Below are 19,814 nucleotides of genomic sequence, written 5' to 3'. Positions count from 1 at the left end.
ACAGGTGAAAAATAAGATCTTTTTCAGAGAAGCAAATCTTGAGAGAATTCATTAGTACTAGACCTGCTGTATAAGATCTCCTAAAAAAGCACTAAGTACAGAAAGCAAAGACCATTATCAGCCACTGAAAAAACAACAACAATAACAACAACAACAACAAAAACTCTTGGCATACACAAACCAATGACATGATAAAGCAATAACATAAACAAGACTGCATAATGAGAAACCAACAACATGACGACAGGATCAAATCCACAAATATCAATACTAACCTTGAATGAAAATAGGCTAAATATCCCAATGAAAAGGCACAGGGTGGTAATCTAGATAAAGAAGTAAGACCCCATTTTGTGCTCTGTTCAAGAGATACATTGCACCTGCAAAGATATCCACAGGCTCAACTAAAGAGATGGAAACAAATCTACAAACGAAATGGAGAACCGAAAAAGAGCCCAATCCTAACTTCAAACAAAACAGACGTTAAACCAACAAAAATTTAAAAAAAAAAAGATAAAGAAGGGCATTATATAATGGTAGGTATTGTAAATACATACTAAGACAGGAGCACCTAAATTCTTTTTTTTTTTTTTTTTTTTTTTGAGATGGAGTCTTGCTCTGTCACCAAGGCTGGAGTGCAGTGGCGCAATCCTGGCTCACTGCAACCTCCACTTCCTGGGTTCAATGATTCTCCTGCCTCAGCCTCCCAAATAGCTGGGATTACATGCTCCACCACACCTGGCTAAGTTTTGTATTTTTAGTAGAGACAGGGTTTCACAATGTTGGCCAGGCTGGTCTTGAACTCCTGACCTCAGGTGATCCACCCACCTTGGCCTCCCAAAGTGTAGGGATTACAGGCATCAGCCACTGCTCTGAGCCAGGAGCACCTAAATTCTTAAAGCAAGTTATTAGAAATCACTATAGAGATGTAGACTCCCACACAACAACAGTAGGAGACATCAACATTCCCCTGACAAAATTAGAGAGATCATCAAGATAAAAAATTAACAAAGTTATTCAGGACCTGAACGCAACATGGAGCCACAAGGATCTGATTGACTTCCCCAAAAACTCTTCAATCTGAAGCAACAGAATACACATTTTTCTCATCACCATCTACTCTAGAGTCAACCACATATTTGGATATAAAACAATCAGCAAATACAAAAGAACCAAAATCATATCCAACATACACCAAGGCCACAGTTCAATTAATAGAAGAATACAAAAAAACTCATTCAAAATCATGCAATTACATGAAAATTAAACAACAAGTTTCTGAATGACAGGTAGGTAATTATATTAAGGCAGAAATTAAAAAGTTATTTTAAGAACATATACAACATAATACCAATTATGAGATATGGCAGGGCAGTGTTAAGGGGGAAATTCATAGCACTAAATCCACATCAAAAAGTTAGAATGATCTCTATTTCACAACCTAACATCACAACTAATGAAACTACAGAAACAAGAGGAAACCAACACTAAACGTAAAGAAGACAAAAAATAACCAAAATCAGTAATCGATGAATTCAGGAGTTGTTTTCTTTTGAGAAATTAATAAGATAAACTACCAGTTGACTAATAAAGAAAAAAGAGAAGATCCAAATAAAGACAAAAACAACAAAATGCATGTTACCACTAACACCACAGAAATACTAACAACCATCAAAGAATATTACAAAAAACTCTATGCACACACATAGGCCCGTGATGCCTGCCTTAGCCTCAAAACCAGCAAATTTTTATTAAGGCTTTCAAAAGGGGAGAGGGTGTAAGAACAGAGAGTAGGTACAAAGATCACATGCTTCAAAGTGCAAAAAGCAGAACTACTGATAAGGGTCCAACAAAGATCACAAGGCAAAGGGCAAAAACAGAACTACTGATAAGGGTCTATGTTCAGCAGTGCACATATTGTCTTGATAAACATCTTAAACAACGGAAAACAGGGTTCCAGAGCAGAGAAACTGTCTGACTACAAATTTACCAGGGCAGAGTTTTTTCCCCCACCCTAGTAAGCCCGGGGGTACTGCAGGATACCAGGGGGTATCTCCATCCTTATCTCAACCGCATAGGACAGACATTCCCAGAGCAGTCGTTTATAGGCCTCCCCCCAGGAATGCATTCCTTTCCCAGGGTATTAATATTAATATTCTCTGCAAGGAAAAGGATTTAGTGATATCTCTCCTACTTGTACGTCCATTTATAGGCTCTCTGCAAGAAGAAAAATATGACTCTTTTTGCCCAACCCCACAAGCAGTCAGATCTTAAGGTTGTCTTCCCTTGTTCCCTAAAAATTGTTATTCTGTTCTTTTTAAGGGTCACTGATTTCATATTGTTCAAACACGTTTTACAATCAATTTGTACAGTTAACACAATTATCACAGTGGTCCTGAGGTGACGTACAGCCTCAGCTCACAAAGGTAACAGGATTAAGAGATTAAAGAGAGGCATAATAAATTATAAAAGTATTATTTCGGAAATGATAAATGGCCATGAAATCTTCACAATTTATGTTCCTCTGCCATGGCTCCAGCTCAGATGTGATCCTTGACAAAGTCAACAAGAACAAGCAATAAGGAAAAACCTCTATACTCAATAAATAGTGCTAGGATAACTGGCTACTTATATGCAGAAAATTGAATTGAACCCCTTGCTTTTATCATATACAAAAATAATCTAAACATATATTGAAGATTTCACTATAAGCCTAAAAATTTAAAAACCCTAGTAGAAAACCTAGAGAGTATCATTCTGTACATAGGCCCTGGAAAATACTTTATGACAAAGATTCCAAAAAAAAATTGCAACAAACACAAAAATTGATAAGTCAGACCTAATTTAACTGAAAAGCTTCTGTATAGCAAAAGAAACTGTAAACAGAGTAAACAGACAACCCACCCAAGGTGACAGCATATTTGCAAACAATGCATCTGACAAAGGTTTAATATCCAGCATCTATAAAGAAATTAAATTGCCAGGCGTGGTGGCTCATGCCTGTAATCCCAACACTCTGGGAGGCCAAGGCGAGCGGATCACCGGAGGTCAGAATTTCGAGACCAGCCTGACCAACACGGAGAAATCCCGTCTCTACTAAAAGTATAAAAAAAAAATAGCCAGGCATGGTGGTATATGCCTGTAATCCCAGCTACTCGGGAGGCTGAGGCAGGAGGAACCCAGGAGGTGGAGGCTGTGGTGAGCCAAGATCACGCCATTGCACTCCAGCTTGGGCAACGAGAGTGACACCCCATCTCAAAAGAAAAAAAAAAAAAAAAGAAAAAAAAAAGAAATTAACTCACAGAAAACAATCCCATTAAAAATGGGCAAAGGACATATACAGACACTTCTATAAATAATACATACATGCAGCCAACCAGCATATAAAAATGTTCAACATCATTAGTTATTAGAGAATTACAAATCAAAACACAACGAGAGGTAATCTCACACAAGTCAGAATGGCTATTACTAAAATACCAAGAAATAACAGATACTGGCAAGGTTGTGGAGAAAAAGGAACATTTATACACCGCTACTGATTATGTAAATTACTTTAGGCATTGTGGAAATTTGTTTGACGATTTCCCAAGTAACTTAGAACAAAACTAACTTTGACCCAGCAATCCCACTGCTCAGCATATACTCAAAGAAATGGAAATTATTCTATGATAGAAATACATATACACATATGTTCATTACTGCACTATTTGTACTAGCAAAGACATGAAATTAACCCAGGTGTCCATTAACAGTAAGCTGAATTTAAAAAGTACATACATAAAAATAAATATATGCACAATGGAATACCAGACAGCATAAAAAAAGAATAAAATTATGTCCTTTGCAGCAACATGGATGCAGCTGGAAGGCATTATCCTAAGCAAATTAACACAGGAAGAGAGAACCAAATAGCATGTTCTCACTTACATGTATAAGCTTAAAACTGAGTACACATGGAAATAAGACAATAATGGACACAGGATCTACTTCAGGGTGGAGGGCCAGAAGAGGCTGAGCAAAGAAAACTGCTTACAGCATACTGTGCTCATTATTTGGGTAACAAGATAATCTGTGCACCAAATCTACACAACTTGCAGTTTATCCATGTAACAAACCTGCATCTGCATCCCTTGAACCTAAATGTTTGAAATCTGAAAAGTAAAAAACAGAAATGAGCAACAAGTCATCTGAAGTTATAAAACTCAATGTTACTAGTAAATACACAAGTAGAAAATACTGTAATGTTACAATCGTGTTGTCCAAACCACTCATATCTTTAGTAGAAAGACTAAAGAAGCAATATGTTAAAACTGATAATTACATCATTTAAGAGACAGATAATATACAAAGACAAGACAACCAAAAGACATAAAACAGAGGAGAATATAAAGTGTAGAGATTTTTACTTTTCTATGTTTTAAAATTTTGATTATAGTTGTTTTTATTTAAAATAATTGGTTATAACATGTTATATGTAAGCAAACTAGTAAGCACATATACAAAACCTATAATTGATACACAATATATAAAAATAAAGAAATTAAACCCTAGAAGCAGAAAAAAAAGTCACTTGTATAAAACGACATGAAGAAAAAAATGACTAATAAAAAAATACAAATAAACGTCAGTAGTAAGTCCCTGCTCATCTATAATAATGAATGTAAATAAACTAAATTTTTTAACCAAAAGATGTAGAGTAGGTGAATAAATGAAAAGGGAAGACAACTACATGCTGTCTACAAGAGAATTTACCTCACCTTATAAGGACACAAATATGTGCCAACGGAAACCAAAATAGAGGAGCAGTAGCTATACTTATATCAGGTAAAATAGATTTCGAGACAAAAGTGAGGCCATTAAATGATGATAAGGGGATCAATTCAGCAAAAAGATATAACAATTTTAAATTTACATGCACCCAATGCTGGAGAATCAAGATTTACAAAGAAAAGATTATTAAGCTAACGAGAGAGATAGACCCCAACACAATAATAATTGTCGACTTCAAAACCCCACTTTGGGCATTTAATGGATCATCTAATGGATCATCTAAATAAATACTTAAACAATAACAACAACATGAGTAACAAGTGGCCAAGTGAACCTCCCCTAACACAGGGAAGTGGTGAGCGAATGTACACCCTGGGAAATAATACTCAATGTTTCTCCTAAGGATCTTTTAACACTCCAGTTAGGAGATCCCCTCATGATCCCACTTCACTAAGGCCTTGGGTTTCATGCACAGAGCTGTGTGAAGTCTTGGCAGAATAGCTGCTCAGGTACACACAGAGTATCAGGAGAGGCTGGCACACTTTGGGTCCAGGATCACCAGCAAAGGTAGCTGCAACTCAGGCAAAGTGAGAGATAAGATTTTTGTACATAACCTTAGGAAGAGAGCTGAATCCAGGAAGCTGAGCAGCATCCTTCTGTGGGCCCCACTTTCATGGCACCTCATAGGATAAGACTCACCAGCTTGGAATTCCAGCCAGCCCCTGGCAACAGTGTTGGGCCAAGCTTGAATGGGGCAGAGTTCTTAGGAGAAAGGGAAGGTTGTCATCCTTGCTGTTTGGATGGCTCAGCTGTTCCAGCCTGCAGGTTTAGGAGAGCGCAAACAAAACTGACCAGGGGATGAAAGGGACTCCCTGGCACACCACAGCTGCTCTACCAAAATGTGGCTAGACTGCTTCTTTAAGTGGGACATCAATCTGCTTCTTATCTCTGGGGAGGGGCCTCCCAACTGGGGCCTCTAGCCACCCCCACCTATATTCTCCAGCAGTTTTAATTTCTCCCTGGATGGAGTGCCTAGGGGAGGGGTGGGCCATGGTCTTTGCTGTTTGGAAAACTCAGCCATTCCAGCCTGTTGTCTTAGCAAAGTCCAAACCATGCAGGGGCAGACAGTACCCTAGTACAGCACATTATCTCTATGAAAGCATGGGCAGAATTATTCTTTAAGCAAGTTCCTATGTGTTCCTCCTTACTTGGCGGGACTTCCCATCCAGGGCCTCCAATCACTCCCACTGATGTTCTCTGGCCAAGAGAGGTTTGAAAACTTCCTGGGACAGACTTCCTAGAGAGAGGAGAAGTTGACTTTTTTTTTGCTTTTTTGTCACCTTAGCAATTCTGGCCTGCAGGCTTCACAGAGTCCAACCTGATAAGTTCTGCAGAACTCTGCATCAAAACACAACAGAATATACATTCTTCTCATTGTCACATAGCACTTCATCTAAAATTGATAAAATAATTAGAAATAAAACACTCGTTAGCAAATTCAAAACAACTGGAAATAAACAGTCTGTTAGACCACAGCACAATCAAATTAGAACTCAAGACTAAAAAATTCACTCAAAGCCATACAATTTGCATAGACATTGGATGGCCTGCTTCTGCATGACTTTTGGGTAAATAATGAAATTAAGGCAGAAATCAAAAAATTATTTGAAACTCATGACAACAAACCTACAATGTGCCAGAATCTTTCGGATGCAGCAAAGGCAGTATTAACAGGGAAATTTATAGCATAAATGCCCACTTTAAAAAAAAAAAAAAGAAGGTTGTCAGGTTAACACCCTAACTTCATAACTAAAGGAACTAGATAACCGACAGTGAATGAACCCAAAAGTTAGCAGAAGACAAGAAATAACCAAAAATTCTTTTGAGGTCAGGCCAAATGTTCCTATTCAGTCAGCCAAGAAGGCCGAATAGGAACAGCTCCGGTCTACAGCTCCCAGCGTGAGTGACGCAGAAGACGAGTGATTTCTGCATTTCCATCTGAGGTACCGGGTTCATCTCACTAGGGAGTGCCAGACAGTGGGCTCAGGACAGTGGATGTAGCACACCGTGCATGAGCCAAAGCAGGGTGAGGCATTGCCTTACTCAGGAAGCGCAAGGGGTCAAGGAGTTCCCTTTCCTAGTCAAAGAAAGGGGTGACAGATGGCATCTGGAAAATCGGGTCACTCCCACCCTAATACTGTGCTTTTCCAATGGGCTTAAAAAACGGTGCACCAGGAGACTATATCCCGCACCTGGCTTGGAGAGTCCTACGCCAGTGAGGTCTCGCTGATTGCTAGCACAGCAGTCTGAGATCAAACTGCAAGGCGGCAGCGAGGCTTGGGGAGGGGAGCCCGCCATTGCCCAGGCTTGCTTAGGTAAACAAAGCAGCCGGGAAGCTCCAACTGGGTGGAGCCCACCACAGCTCAAGGAGGCCTGCCTGCCTCTGTAGGCTCCACCTCTGGGGGCAGGGCACAGACAAACAAAAAGACAGCCGTAACCTCTGCAGACTTAAATGTCCCTGTCTGACAGCTTTGAAGAAAGCAGTGGTTCTCCCAGCATGCAGCTGGAGATCTGAGAACGGGCAGACTGCCTCCTCAAGTGGGTCCCTGACCCCTGACCCCAGAGCAGCCTAACTGGGAGGCAGCCCCCAGTAGGGGCAGACTGACACCTCACACGGCTGGGTACTCTTCTGAGACAAAACTTTCAGGGGAACGATCAGACAGCAGCATTCACAGTTCACGATAATCTGCTGTTCTGCAGCCACCGCTGCTGGTACCCAGGCAAACTGGCTCTGGAGTGGACCTCTAGTAAACTCCAACAGACCTGCAGCCGAGGGTCCTCTCTGTTAGAAGGAAAACTAACAAACAGAAAGGACATCCATACCAAAAACCCATCTGTACATCACCGTCATCAAAGACCAAAAGTAGATAAAACCACAAAGATGGGGAAAAAACAGAGCAGAAAAACTGGAAACTCTAAAAAGCAGAGCGCCTCTCCTCCTACAAAGGAATGCAGTTCCTCACCAGCAACGGAACAAAGCTGGATGCAGAATGACTTTGACAAGTTGAGAGAAGAAGGCTTCAGACGATCAAACTACTCTGAGCTACAGGAGCAAATTCAAACCAAAGGCAAAGAAGTTAAAAACTTTGAAAAAAATTTAGACGAATGTATAACTAGAATAATCAATACAGAGAAGTGCTTAAGAGCTGATGGAGCTGAAAGCCAAGGCTCGAGAACTACGTGAAGAATGCAGAAGCCTCAGGAGCCGATGCGAACAACTGGAAGAAAGGGTATCAGTGATGGAAGATGAAATGAATGAAATGAAGTGAGAAGGGAAGTTTAGAGAAAAAAGAATAAAAAGAAATGAACAAAGCCTCCAAGAAATATGGGACTATGTGAAAAGACCAAATCTACGTCTGATTGGTGTACCTGAAAGTGACAGGGAGAATGGAACCAAGTTGGAAAACACTCTGCAGGATATTATCCAGGAGAACTTCCCCTATCTAGCAAGGCACGCCAACATTCAGATTCAGGAAATACAGAGAACACCACAAAGATACACCTCAAGAAGGGCAACTCCAAGACACATAATTGTCAGACTACCCAAAGTTCAAATGAAGGGCAGCCAGAGAGAAAGGTCGGGTTAACCACAAAGGGAAGCCCATCAGAGTAACAGCGGATCTCTCGGCAGAAACTCTACAAGCCAGAAGAGAGTGGGGGCCAATATTCAACATTCTTAAAGAAAAAAATTTTCAACCCAGAATTTCATATCCAGCCAAACTAAGCTTTATAAGTGAAGGAGAAATAAAATACTTTACAGACAAGCAAATGCTGAGAGATTTTGTCACCACCAGGCCTGCCCTAAAAGAGCTCCTGAAGGAAGCGCTAAACATGGAAAGGAACAGGTGGTACCAGCCACTGCAAAATCATGACAAATTGTAAAGACCATCGAGGCTAGGAAGAAACTGCATCAACTAACGAGCAAAATAACCAGCTAACATCATAATGACACGATCAAATTTACACATAACGTAAATGGACTAAATGCTCCAGTTAAAAGACACAGACTGGCAAATTGGATAAAGAGTCAAGACCCATCAGTGTACTGTATTCAGGAAACCCATCTCACGTGCAGAGACATACGTAGGCTCAAAATAAAAGGATGGAGGAAGATCTACCAAGCAAATGGAAAACAAAAAAAGGCAGGGGTTGCAATCCTAGTCTCTCATAATACAGACTTTAAACCAACAATGATCAAAAGAGACAAAGAAGGCCATTACAGAATGGTAAAGGGATCAATTCAACGAGAAGAGCTAACTATCCTAAATATATATGCACCCAATACAGGAGCACTCAGATTCATAAAGGAAGTCCTGAGTGATCTACAAAGAGACTTAGACTCCCACACAATAATAATGGGAGAATTTAACACCCCACTGTCAACATTAGACAGATCAACGAGACAGAAAGTTAACAAGGATACCCAGGAATTGAACTCAGCTCTGCACCAAGTGGACCTAATAGACATCTACAGAACTCTCCACCCCAAATCAACAGAATATACATTTTTTTCAGCATCATACCACACCTATTCCAAAACTGACCACATAGTTGGAAGTAAAGCTCTCCTCAGAAAATGTAAAAAAACAGAAATTATAACAACTGTCTCTCAGACCACAGTGCATCAAACTAGAACTCAGGATTAAGAAACTCACTCAAAACCGCTCAACTACATGGAAACTGAACAACCTGCTCCTGAATGACTACTGGGTACATAACGAAATGAAGGCAGAAATAAAGATGTTCTTTGAAACCAATGAGAACAAAGACACAACATACCAGAATCTCTGGGACACATTCAAAGCACTGTGTAGAGGGAAATTTATAGCACTAAATGCCCACAAGAGAAAGCAGGAAAGATCCAAAATTCACACCCTAACATCACAATTAAAAGAACTAGAAAAGCAAGAGCAAACACATTCAAAAGCTAGCAGAAGGCAAGAAATAATTAAAATCAGAGCAGAACTGAAGGAAATAGAGACACAGAAAACCCTTCAAAAAATTAATGAATCCAGGAGCTGGTTTTTTGAAAGGATCAACAAAATTGATAGATCGCTAGCAAGACTAATAAAGAAGAAAAGAGAGAAGAATCAAATAGAGAGATTCTCTATTTGAGAATAGAGAGAAAAAAATAGAGAGAAGAAAAATAGAGAGAAAAAAATCTCAGGACCAGGTGGATTAATAGCTGAATTCTATCAGAGGTACCAAGAAGAGCTGGTGCCATTTCTACTGAAGCTATTTTTAAAAACTGGAAAAAAGGATCCCTTCCCTAACTCATTCTACAAAGTTAGCATCACCCTGATACCAAAATCAGGCAGAGACACAACCACCACCACCACCACCACCTCAGGCCTGTATCTTTGATGAACACCGATACAAAAATCCCAAACAAGATACTGAGAAACCAAATCCAGCAGCATGGCAAAAAACATATCCACCACAATCAAGTAGGGTTCAGGCCCAGAATGCAAGGTTGGTTAAACATATGGCAATCAATAAATGTGTTTCATTGCATAAACAGAACTAAAGATTAAAACTACATGATTATCTCAATAGATGCAGAAAAGACTTTTGATAAAATTCAATATCACTTCATGTTAAAAACTCTCAATAAACCAGTTACGGAAGGAATGTTGTAGGATTTATTAAAAAATTACTATAAGCAGATGGGAGGGAAAGGGGTCCTTCAGAAGTTTTTTTCTTTGAAAGCAGCTCCAGAAATGTTTCTTGTCTACCTGAATAGCCCCTGCTCAGAGAGCCGGGCAGCAAGCTATGATATGAAAATGCTGCCCATCAGAAACTGGGTCCACCCAAACATAACAATTCCTGCCCTTTTCTTCCTTGCCCCTACATGTGCCTGGCAAAATGACCACCCCCACATACCCTATGTGTGTAGAACATCATGGTGCCCTACATTTGCATATTAAAAGGCTAGGGTGGAAGGGCCAGACTTTTTCTGGGCTATGTAAATGGCAAGCCTGGTCAAACCAATCTCCTGAACCCTAAGCAAATCAGACACCACCTCCACCAGCTTTCCCATATAAGCAGCAACTTTTCTCTGCACACAGGATTTTCTCTTTGTTAGAATCCCTCTTCCCCAACTCCATATCTGTAAGGGTACCTGTTTGCTTCTTCCTTGCTTCTTTCTTATTAAAGTTTCCACTCCTTAAAACCACTCACGTGTGTCCGTGTCATTTTATTCAATTCAGTGCAAGAATAAGGATCCTAGTGCTACTCCACTTATCGGGGCCATATCTGGAACATACCTCAAAATAATGTAATGAAAGTCATGTATGAAAAACCCACTGCAAACATCATACTGAAAAGGCAAAAGCTGGAATCATTTTCCTTGAAAACTGGCACAAGACAAAGATGTCCTCTGACACTACTTGTATCCAATATAGTATTGAAAGTTCTGGGCAATCAGGCCAGAGAAAGGAATAAAAGATATTGAAATAGGAAGAGAGGAAATCAAATTATCCCTGTTTGCAACCAATATGATTCTATATGCACACAAATCCATCATCTCAGCCCCAAAGCTTTTTAAGCTGATAAACAACTTGAGCAAAATCTCACAATACAAAATCAATGTGCAAAAATCATTAGCGTTCTTATACACCATCAATAGTAAAGCCAAGAGCCAAGTCATGAACAAACTCTCATTCACCATAGCCACAAAAAGAATAAAACACCTAAAGTACAGCTAACCAGGGAAGTGAAAGACCTGTACAGGAAGAACTATTAATACAAATCACTACTCAAATAACTAAGAGATGACATAAACAAATGGAAAGTATTCCATGCTCACAGATAGGCGGAATCAATATCACTAAATGGCCACTCTGCCCAAAGCAATTTATAGATCCAATGCTATACCCATTAAATTACCATTAACATTCTTCACAGAACTAGAAAAATCTATTTTAAAATTCATGTGAAACCAAAAAAGAGACTGTACAGCCAAGGCAATTTTAAGCAACATAATCAAAACTAAATTCATCATGCTTCCCAACTTCAAACTACACTACAGAAGTACCGTAACCCAAACAGCATGGTACTGATAAAAGAACAGACACATAGACCAAAGGAATAGAATGGAAAACCCAGAAATATGACTACATGCTTACAAGTATCTGATTTTCAAGAAAATTTACAAAAGCAATGGTGAAAAGACTCTCTATTTAATAAATGGTGCTGTGAGAAACTGGCTAGCCATATAGAGAAAATTGAAACTGGACCTTTTTATTACTCCATATACAAAAATTAACTCAAGATGGATTAAAGACTTAAATGTAAAACCCAAAACTATAAAAACCCTAGAAGCAAATCTAGGCAAAACCATTCAGAACATAGGCAGGAGTAAAGACTTCTTGAAGAAGATGTCAAAAGCAATTGTGACAAAAGAAAAAATTAACAAATGACATCTAATTAAACTAAAGAGCTTCTGCACTAGCAAATAAACCATCAACAAATTAAATAGACAAAGTACAGAATGGGAAAAAATTGTAAACTATGCATCTGACAAAGGTCTAATATCTAGCATACACAAAGAACTTATACAAATTTACAAGGAAAAAACAAAGAACCTCATTAAAAAGTGGGCAAAGGACATGAACAGACAATTCTCAAGACATACACATGTAGACAACAAACATCTTAAAAAGCTCAACATCACTGATCCTTATAGAAATGCGCATCAAAACCACAATGAGATAGTATCCCAAACCTGTCAGAATACCTATTATTATAAAGTCAAAAAATAACAGATTCAGGTGAGGTTCTGGAGAAATAGAAATGCTTTTACACTGCTGGTGGGAATGTAAATTAGTTCAGCATTATGGAAGACAGTGTGGCAATTCCTCAAAGACCTAAAGATAGAATTATCATTCAACCCCACCAATCCCATTACTGGGTATATCCCAAAGGATTATAAATCATTCTGTTATAAAGATACATGCACATGTATGTTCACTGCAGGTATTCACAACAGCATATGTACATTCACTGCAGCTATTCACGAAAGCAAAGACAATGGAATCAGCCCAAATGCTCGTCAGTGATAGACTGGATAAAGAAAATGTGGTAAATATACACCATAGATTTCTATGCAGCCATAAAAAAAGACAAGATCATGTCTTTGCAGTAACACAGCTGGAGACCATTATCCTTAGCAAACAAACGCCAGAACCGAAAACCAAATACTGCATGTTCTCATTTATAAGTGGGTGAGTGGAGCACAGGAGGAGGGAGAGAAGCAAGAAATATAACTAATGGATATTAGGCTTAATACCTGGGTGATGAAATAATCTGTACAACGAACCCTATCACACAGGCTTACTTATAAAACAAACCATCATATAGTGCACATGAACCTCTGAACTTAAAAGTTAAAAAATATATGTATTACAATAAATGAAGTTAGCAAGGTGCCAGAACACAAGATCAACATACAAAAATTAATCATATTTCTGTGTATCACTAACAAACCCTTAATAGGGGAAATCTTTTAAAAATTTGATTCATAGTAGCAGAAATAGAATAAGATAATCTGAAGTAAATTAATTTCAAATATATATAATACATACTAAATACTAATATACAAAAAATACCAAAAACTATAAAACTTTGTTGCAGGAAACCAAAGAAGACCTAAATAAATTGAAATACATGCTTTGTCCATGTATAGGAAACTTAGATGGAAATATTTCCTAAATTTGTCTGTAGATTCAACATTTCTGTCTCAGTCCCAGCTTGCTTGTCTGTTGAAACCCCAGCTTGTTTCTCTGTAGAAACAGGCAAGGTAATAAAAATACAAGAAACAAATAATAGCCAAACAGTCTCGAAAAAAACAAGAAGAAAGTTGGGATTACTCACTTTTCCCAATTCAAACCTTCCACAAACTACAGCAATAAAAACAATATGGCATTAGAATATATACATACATATAAATATGGAACGAAATTGAGAGTCCAAGAATAAACCCATACATTTATGGCCAACGGAATGTTATCAAGAGTGCCAAGAACAATTAATGAAGCAATAATAATGTTTCCAACAAATTCTGGGACAACTAGATGGCAACACGCAAAAATATTGAGTTGGATCATTACTTCACAGTGTTTACACAAGTTAACTCAAAATGTATCAAAGACTTTAATGTAGAAGCTAATACTATAAAGGTCCTAGAATAGAGGAGAAGAGTACATCCTTGTGATTTTGGGTTAGACAAAATCCCCTCAGAGGCAACACTGAAAGTACAAGTGACAATAGAAAAAAGCAAACTGGATAAAGATCAAATTAAAAATCTTTCTGTTCAAAGTTTACTATTAGGAAAGAGAAAAGCCAGCTTACAGAATTATTTTTTATAAAAATCAAATATTTGATAAAAGAATCAGATAAGATTACAACTAAACAAAAAAAGACAAACCAATGTGAAAAGAGCCAAAAATTTTGAATAGACATTTCTCCAGAGAAGGTATATAAAGCATATGAACAAGCCAACAACCTTACGAAAAGATGCTCAACACTACTGTATCATTAGTAATTCAAGAAGTCCAACTCAAAACTCTATGAGATCTCATACACATTGTAATGGTCAAATCAGTAAGTCATGTAATTATAGTATTGGTGAGGACATGAAGAAACTAGAACGGTATTCCACTTTAGATGGAAATTAAATGATGAAGATGCTTTGGAAAAGAAAAGTTTAAACCTAAAGTTCCCATATAACCCACTAATTCTACTTGTAGGTGTATACACACGAGAAATGACACTAAGCATGCACACAAAAACCGGTACACAAATGCTAATAGCAACATTATAATAGCTAAAAGTAGAAATTGAAATATCTATTTACTAATGAATTCATAAAATATAAAGCTGTATTATAATGAATTATCTTGAACAGAGAAAAAAGATCTCATCATTTGAAATAATACAGGCTCTATAACTAATTTTATGAAATAGAACTCTATAACTCTAACTTTATGAAACAGAAAAAGTATGTAGATAAAACTAGGAAAAAGAAAGCAGAAAATTAAGTAACAACTTTTGAAACAGGAATATATATGTAATGTAGTATAATAAACTCATGAAGCCGATAATCTAGATGAAATGGATAAATTGTTAAAAAAAAAAACGGAAATGCCAAGAATCGTACAATACGAAACAATTGTCAAACTATCAAACTTTAAGGCACTTCTGGCAGTGCCCTTCCAAATAAAATCTACCATTTGATTTTTAAAACTTACCTTTTGCGTATTTTTCAAAAATATATGGAGAACAAAAAGATACTACAGTAGTGAACTGATTAAAAAAAAACAGAATAGCAATGTAGGGGGATTTTTGCTTAACGGGTGTAAAATATTGTAAATAAAATTATAGGAAATAAAGTGTAACATCTTGTTTTGAAATAAAACATCGCAATAAAGTATAATTTCCCTTAAAAACAGCATGATATTTCCACATCAAAAAACGGATCATTAGCAGTGTGTTTCTTTTGATTTATGGTACGTGTGTTTAGCGATGTTGAAGGTTTACTGTAATCTGTCCAGGTCTTTGTGATCATTTTAAAATTTAGGGTGCTCCTAGGTAATTTTTAAGGGATGTTTATCATGTGCAGTAAAGGTTTTATTCAAAAACATTTAGCACTTCTTTTCCCCGTCCTAAAGTCCAAGCTCGAGTTGGTAAAAAATCCAACGACAAATGTGCCCACTTGAAGTGCACTGTTAATGCAACAGTTTACAAGAACATAAATACATTGTACCGGCATCCTGCCTCCTAAACGTCTTGTGACAGGAACGTTCTCGAGCTGAGAACCCAGTGAGTCTTCAGAGAATGTTAGTAAACACTTTCACATGAACGGATATCGCCGGCGGTTTGTCCTGGCAGGAAAAAAAAAAGGTGCGTTTCTACGGACATTTCCGCAAAGGAGGAATTTTCTCCGAGAAATCCTTCGTTGATCAGCACCACAGCCTTTTACGGTCCTTCCCTGCAATACGCAGGCGTAACTTGCGCAGTGGTCCCATTTTAAAAAAGATCCGGCCATACTATTTTTATCTTGCTTTTTCGTTCTGTCGCAGTACTGTTTAATATGAGTCCAGCGACGGCTCTGTGACTGTTTTCCTCTGGTAAAATCGCTCTTGCGTCCTCAGCGTTTATCTCAGGTGCGGAAGGTCTCACAGGTTTGGAAATAGCGCCGGAAAAATCGATCCGCGGAGTGAGACGGCTCGTACCACACTGCAGGGCCCGGAGGTCAAGATGGTGGCTGTAAAACTAGGATCCCTGACGATTGGTAAGCAGCTACGGGATTAAAGTAACCTTGAAATTCTCAAGAAAATGAAATTTTCATAGGCCTTTTAGTAGGAGGAACCAGCGCGTCATTAAAGACAATGTGATTCTTATTTTACAGCTTAGCATTAAGGCCCGACATGGAACCGGGGTGTGACGAGTTCCTGCCGCCACCGGAGTGCCCGGTTTTTGAGCCTAGCTGGGCTGAATTCCAAGACCCGCTTGGCTACATTGCGAAAATAAGGCCCATAGCAGAGAAGTCTGGCATCTGCAAAATCCGCCCACCCGCGGTAAGTCTTTGAAACAAAATTTGGGAATGGGTAGCCTTTGGTTTGAACGTTGGGGCAGTTTACCACTTGGCGAGGCGTTATTTACACTCATGACCAGAAACCCTTAGCACCAAATTTCTCATTTAACTTTTCTGACCCGAACAAGCTGGCATCAGAATATTAGTATCAGATCGCCACATTCCACGGGGTTCTAAACATCTGACTGCTGTAGGGACAAAAATATAAGATTCAAATATTTCTACGTTCTGCTGTTATTAAATATAGTTTAGGCATACACAAGCTTTTATTACATTTAACCGCAAAAAAATAGCTTACTCAGAAGTACTTGATCTATGACAGAAGCAAGTTATATAAGCTTGTGTGTTAACCACTTGGACTGGTGTTTTCTTTCTTTGATATGACCTTAGATGTATGTAGCAAATATAGCAAATAATGGGAGTGATGTGGCATCCTTTGCCATCAATTAAATTTATTATTAAACGTAGACCATTTTGGGTTGCTATACTGAAAACTACTAAATGAACCTCGTAGAAGTTTGACTGAATTAAGAATGTAAACTGAAATAAGCCTGGGCTGTCGTCGTGAACAACTAACACAATATTCAGAGAAGTCAAAAAGTTTTCGCAGAGCATACAGCTTTTTTCTCATATATTGAACCAGGCTGCAACGTTATTTTTATGTGGATGTTCGCACTTCTCAGCATTTGCAATTAAACTTTTTCGTACTGCTGGGAGTGGGAAGAGATAATGGCTTAGGTTTTAAAAAGTGAAACAATTTTTTATCTGCATTACATTTATCTTCATTTTAGTAAGGACTCATAACCCAAATAGCATAGTGTTTGTTCAGATGTGCGTCATTCCTTGGAAGTCGAGTCGCTTTCTAGCCTTGGGATTATAGAGGTTTTTTTTTTTTTTTTCGTCTGTTACGAAGGACACATATCAAGGAGAGTTTTGGATTTGCAGGGTTTTTCCTTTTTTTTTTTTTTTTGCAGTTAATCTTGATTATGAAGAAGGAATCATTTGAGGCCCTTGTGTACAAAAATGGTTACCAGAAGACTTTAAAAGAGTGGGAACAAATGATTGTGGTTTTCACTATCTTCATCCTTTACTGTGCCATAGTTACCAGGTCCTTACACTTTCTTCTAGGATTGGCAGCCTCCTTTTGCAGTAGAAGTTGACAATTTCAGATTTACTCCTCGCGTCCAAAGGCTAAATGAACTGGAGGTAAGATTGGGAGGCACACTTTTTTTAAAGGAATCTGATCTTTAATCTTGCCGTTGTAGTTTCATAATAATGTAGAACTTAAGTTTTGAAATCTAATGTATTGAATTTGAACCCGAACTCCACCATTTTCCAGAATACTGATTTTGGAGAAAGTCTTCTATAAAATACATAATTTATGTCCACAAAAATGGTAGAACACAAAGGCTTTAAATATCTGAGGAAGAATGATGCATTGTTTCGCTGTTCAATAGTTTCAGGTTAGAACTATCAAAATGACAGTACCTTTCCCATTTTGTCTTCTCGTACTCACATATTTAATGAATGAATTTTTTTTTTTGAAACAGAGTCTCACCCTGTCTACCAGGCTGGAGTGCAGTGGCGGGATCTCGCCTCACTGCAACCTCCACCTTCCAGGTTCAAGGGATTCTCTTGCCTCAGCCTCTCAAGTAGCTGGGATTACAGGTGCACACCAGCAGGCTCAGCTAATTTTTGTATTTTTAGTAGAGATGGAGTTTCACCGATTTGGTCATGCTGGTCTCCAACTCCAAACGTTAGGTGATCAGCCTGCCTTGGCCTCCTAAAGTGCTGGGGTTACCGGCGTAAGCCCCTGCACCCAGTGTGACTAAATTTTTTTTAGTTCTTTAACAGAAGCAGAGTTCAGACAAGAAATAGGATCTTTTAAATATCCAGCAACAGAGTGATGGTATTACATATGTTCTGCTTTAATAAAATGTCAGAGGCAAACTTGCTCTTTAAAGCAGTCAACTCAGTCTTCACAGTTTAGTATTCAATATAGAAAGTATATGAATGATTTGTCATTTTCTTTTACTCTTAGGATTTTGACTATGATCAGTAGCTAGAAGCTGTGTATGAGTTAGAGTAAGAAAGCAGTGATTCAGAAACTGGTTTTGTGTCCAGCTCTTTTACATGAACTAGAAAAATATTTTAATTCTTTGAATTATATATCAGTACATTCTAAATGAGTGTCTTGATGATATTGAGTCTAAATACTGTTGGAGCCTACATATTTTTGGTCAAGCCACCTTTAAGTCCAAGAATAATTCCTTAAATTTAGACATGATGTTGATCCTAAGACGGCACATTCTTAGCTCTTTATAGATTAAAGACTCAGCTTATTTGAGCTTTTTGTGGACCCCGCTGGTGAGATAAGACAGTGAAGCTGGGGCTCCGGCACGTTGGTGGAGAAGTGTAGATAGCATAGAATAATACTTGTTCATTTACTGCATACTCGATGAAGTCAGGTTAAGGAGTATGCCAATCTTATAAGGCCCTCTCTTTCCCAGGCCCAAACTAGAGTGAAATTGAACTATTTGGATCAGATTGCAAAATTCTGGGAAATTCAAGGCTCCTCTTTAAAGATTCCCAATGTGGAGCGGAAGATCTTGGACCTCTACAGCCTTAGTAAGGTAAGAGTAGTCTACTTTCTAAAGGAAAAACAAAAAGCCTTGCCTCAAGGATCTTCTGTGGTAGAAACAATAGGCAGGAAAGGAAAGAACACAGAGCCTGGCAGCGTTTCTTGACGTAATCTTTGAGTCTTGCAATGATTGGTGTTGGGGGAAGGGCACAGCCCCCCATATTCAAGTCTCATTGTTGTGTTGGTAGCCCTTTCCAGTCTGTTCACAGTTCATCCATATTGTTTCTTATACTTTCAGATTGTGATTGAGGAAGGTGGCTATGAAGCCATCTGCAAGGATCGTCGGTGGGCTCGAGTTGCCCAGCGTCTCCACTACCCACCAGGCAAAAACATTGGCTCCCTGCTACGATCACATTACGAACGCATTATTTACCCCTATGAAATGTTTCAGTCTGGAGCCAACCATGTGGTGAGGGCCCTTAAACTGGTTTGTGGCCTGATGTGATTTTGTTTTCTTTTGTATTTTTTCTTTGGATTGGACTTTTCTCTTGAGTAGTCAGGGTCTATAGATTCTAAATCTCTAGAGTGAAGATGTTCCAGGAATTGGCCCTAGAAAATACTTTGCAGCCTCTTTATGTGGCATAGTTTTATTCCTGCTATACATAAGTAAGAACTAGAGTAACCTTTCTATCTTATGAGGTTGATGTTTACTAAGATCTTTTTATGGAGAAGATCTTAAACTAGAAGTTAGAGGAAACCATTTCCTATTTTAAGTATCTTACATGAAAAAGATAATCTTTTTTT

At 38.3% G+C, this 19,814-nt stretch overlaps 1 protein-coding gene and 1 long non-coding RNA gene across 17 annotated transcripts in view; one reads left to right on the top strand and one right to left on the bottom strand.

Moving 5' to 3' along the window:
- Nucleotides 1-1,725: 1,725 nt before the first annotated feature.
- Nucleotides 1,726-16,041, bottom strand: KDM5D-DT (KDM5D divergent transcript). 3 transcript variants are annotated; one of them, XR_007068464.1, is made up of 4 exons: nucleotides 15,084-15,959; nucleotides 5,982-6,070; nucleotides 5,473-5,592; nucleotides 3,348-4,154 (listed from the first exon to the last, which is right to left on the bottom strand). It is a non-coding gene; the product is annotated as a KDM5D divergent transcript (long non-coding RNA). The 3 variants fall into 3 exon arrangements; XR_938630.4 differs by having other exon boundaries at nucleotides 1,726-5,592; nucleotides 15,084-16,012; XR_001756067.3 differs by having other exon boundaries at nucleotides 3,241-5,592; nucleotides 5,982-6,171; nucleotides 15,084-16,041.
- The window catches only part of KDM5D (lysine demethylase 5D), a 40,862-nt gene continuing 37,118 nt past the window's right edge, over nucleotides 16,071-19,814 (top strand). For 13 of the 14 annotated variants that reach the window (XM_047442766.1, XM_047442765.1, XM_047442763.1 and 10 more), the window contains exons 1-5: nucleotides 16,071-16,126; nucleotides 16,244-16,412; nucleotides 17,558-17,635; nucleotides 18,940-19,062; nucleotides 19,309-19,479. In XM_047442766.1, coding sequence (XP_047298722.1) covers nucleotides 16,263-16,412; nucleotides 17,558-17,635; nucleotides 18,940-19,062; nucleotides 19,309-19,479 — 522 coding nt within the window. In that variant the 5' untranslated portion in view covers nucleotides 16,071-16,126; nucleotides 16,244-16,262. The remainder of the gene's footprint in view (nucleotides 16,127-16,243; nucleotides 16,413-17,557; nucleotides 17,636-18,939; nucleotides 19,063-19,308; nucleotides 19,480-19,814) is intronic. The other variant, NM_001146706.2, reaches the window with a different exon arrangement.

This window comes from Homo sapiens, chromosome Y, assembly GCF_000001405.40.
Source record: "Homo sapiens chromosome Y, GRCh38.p14 Primary Assembly".
Taxonomy (NCBI): domain Eukaryota; kingdom Metazoa; phylum Chordata; class Mammalia; order Primates; family Hominidae; genus Homo; species Homo sapiens.
The sequence above is the reverse complement of the archived record's forward strand: the minus strand, read 5'-3'. Positions and strand labels throughout refer to the sequence as shown.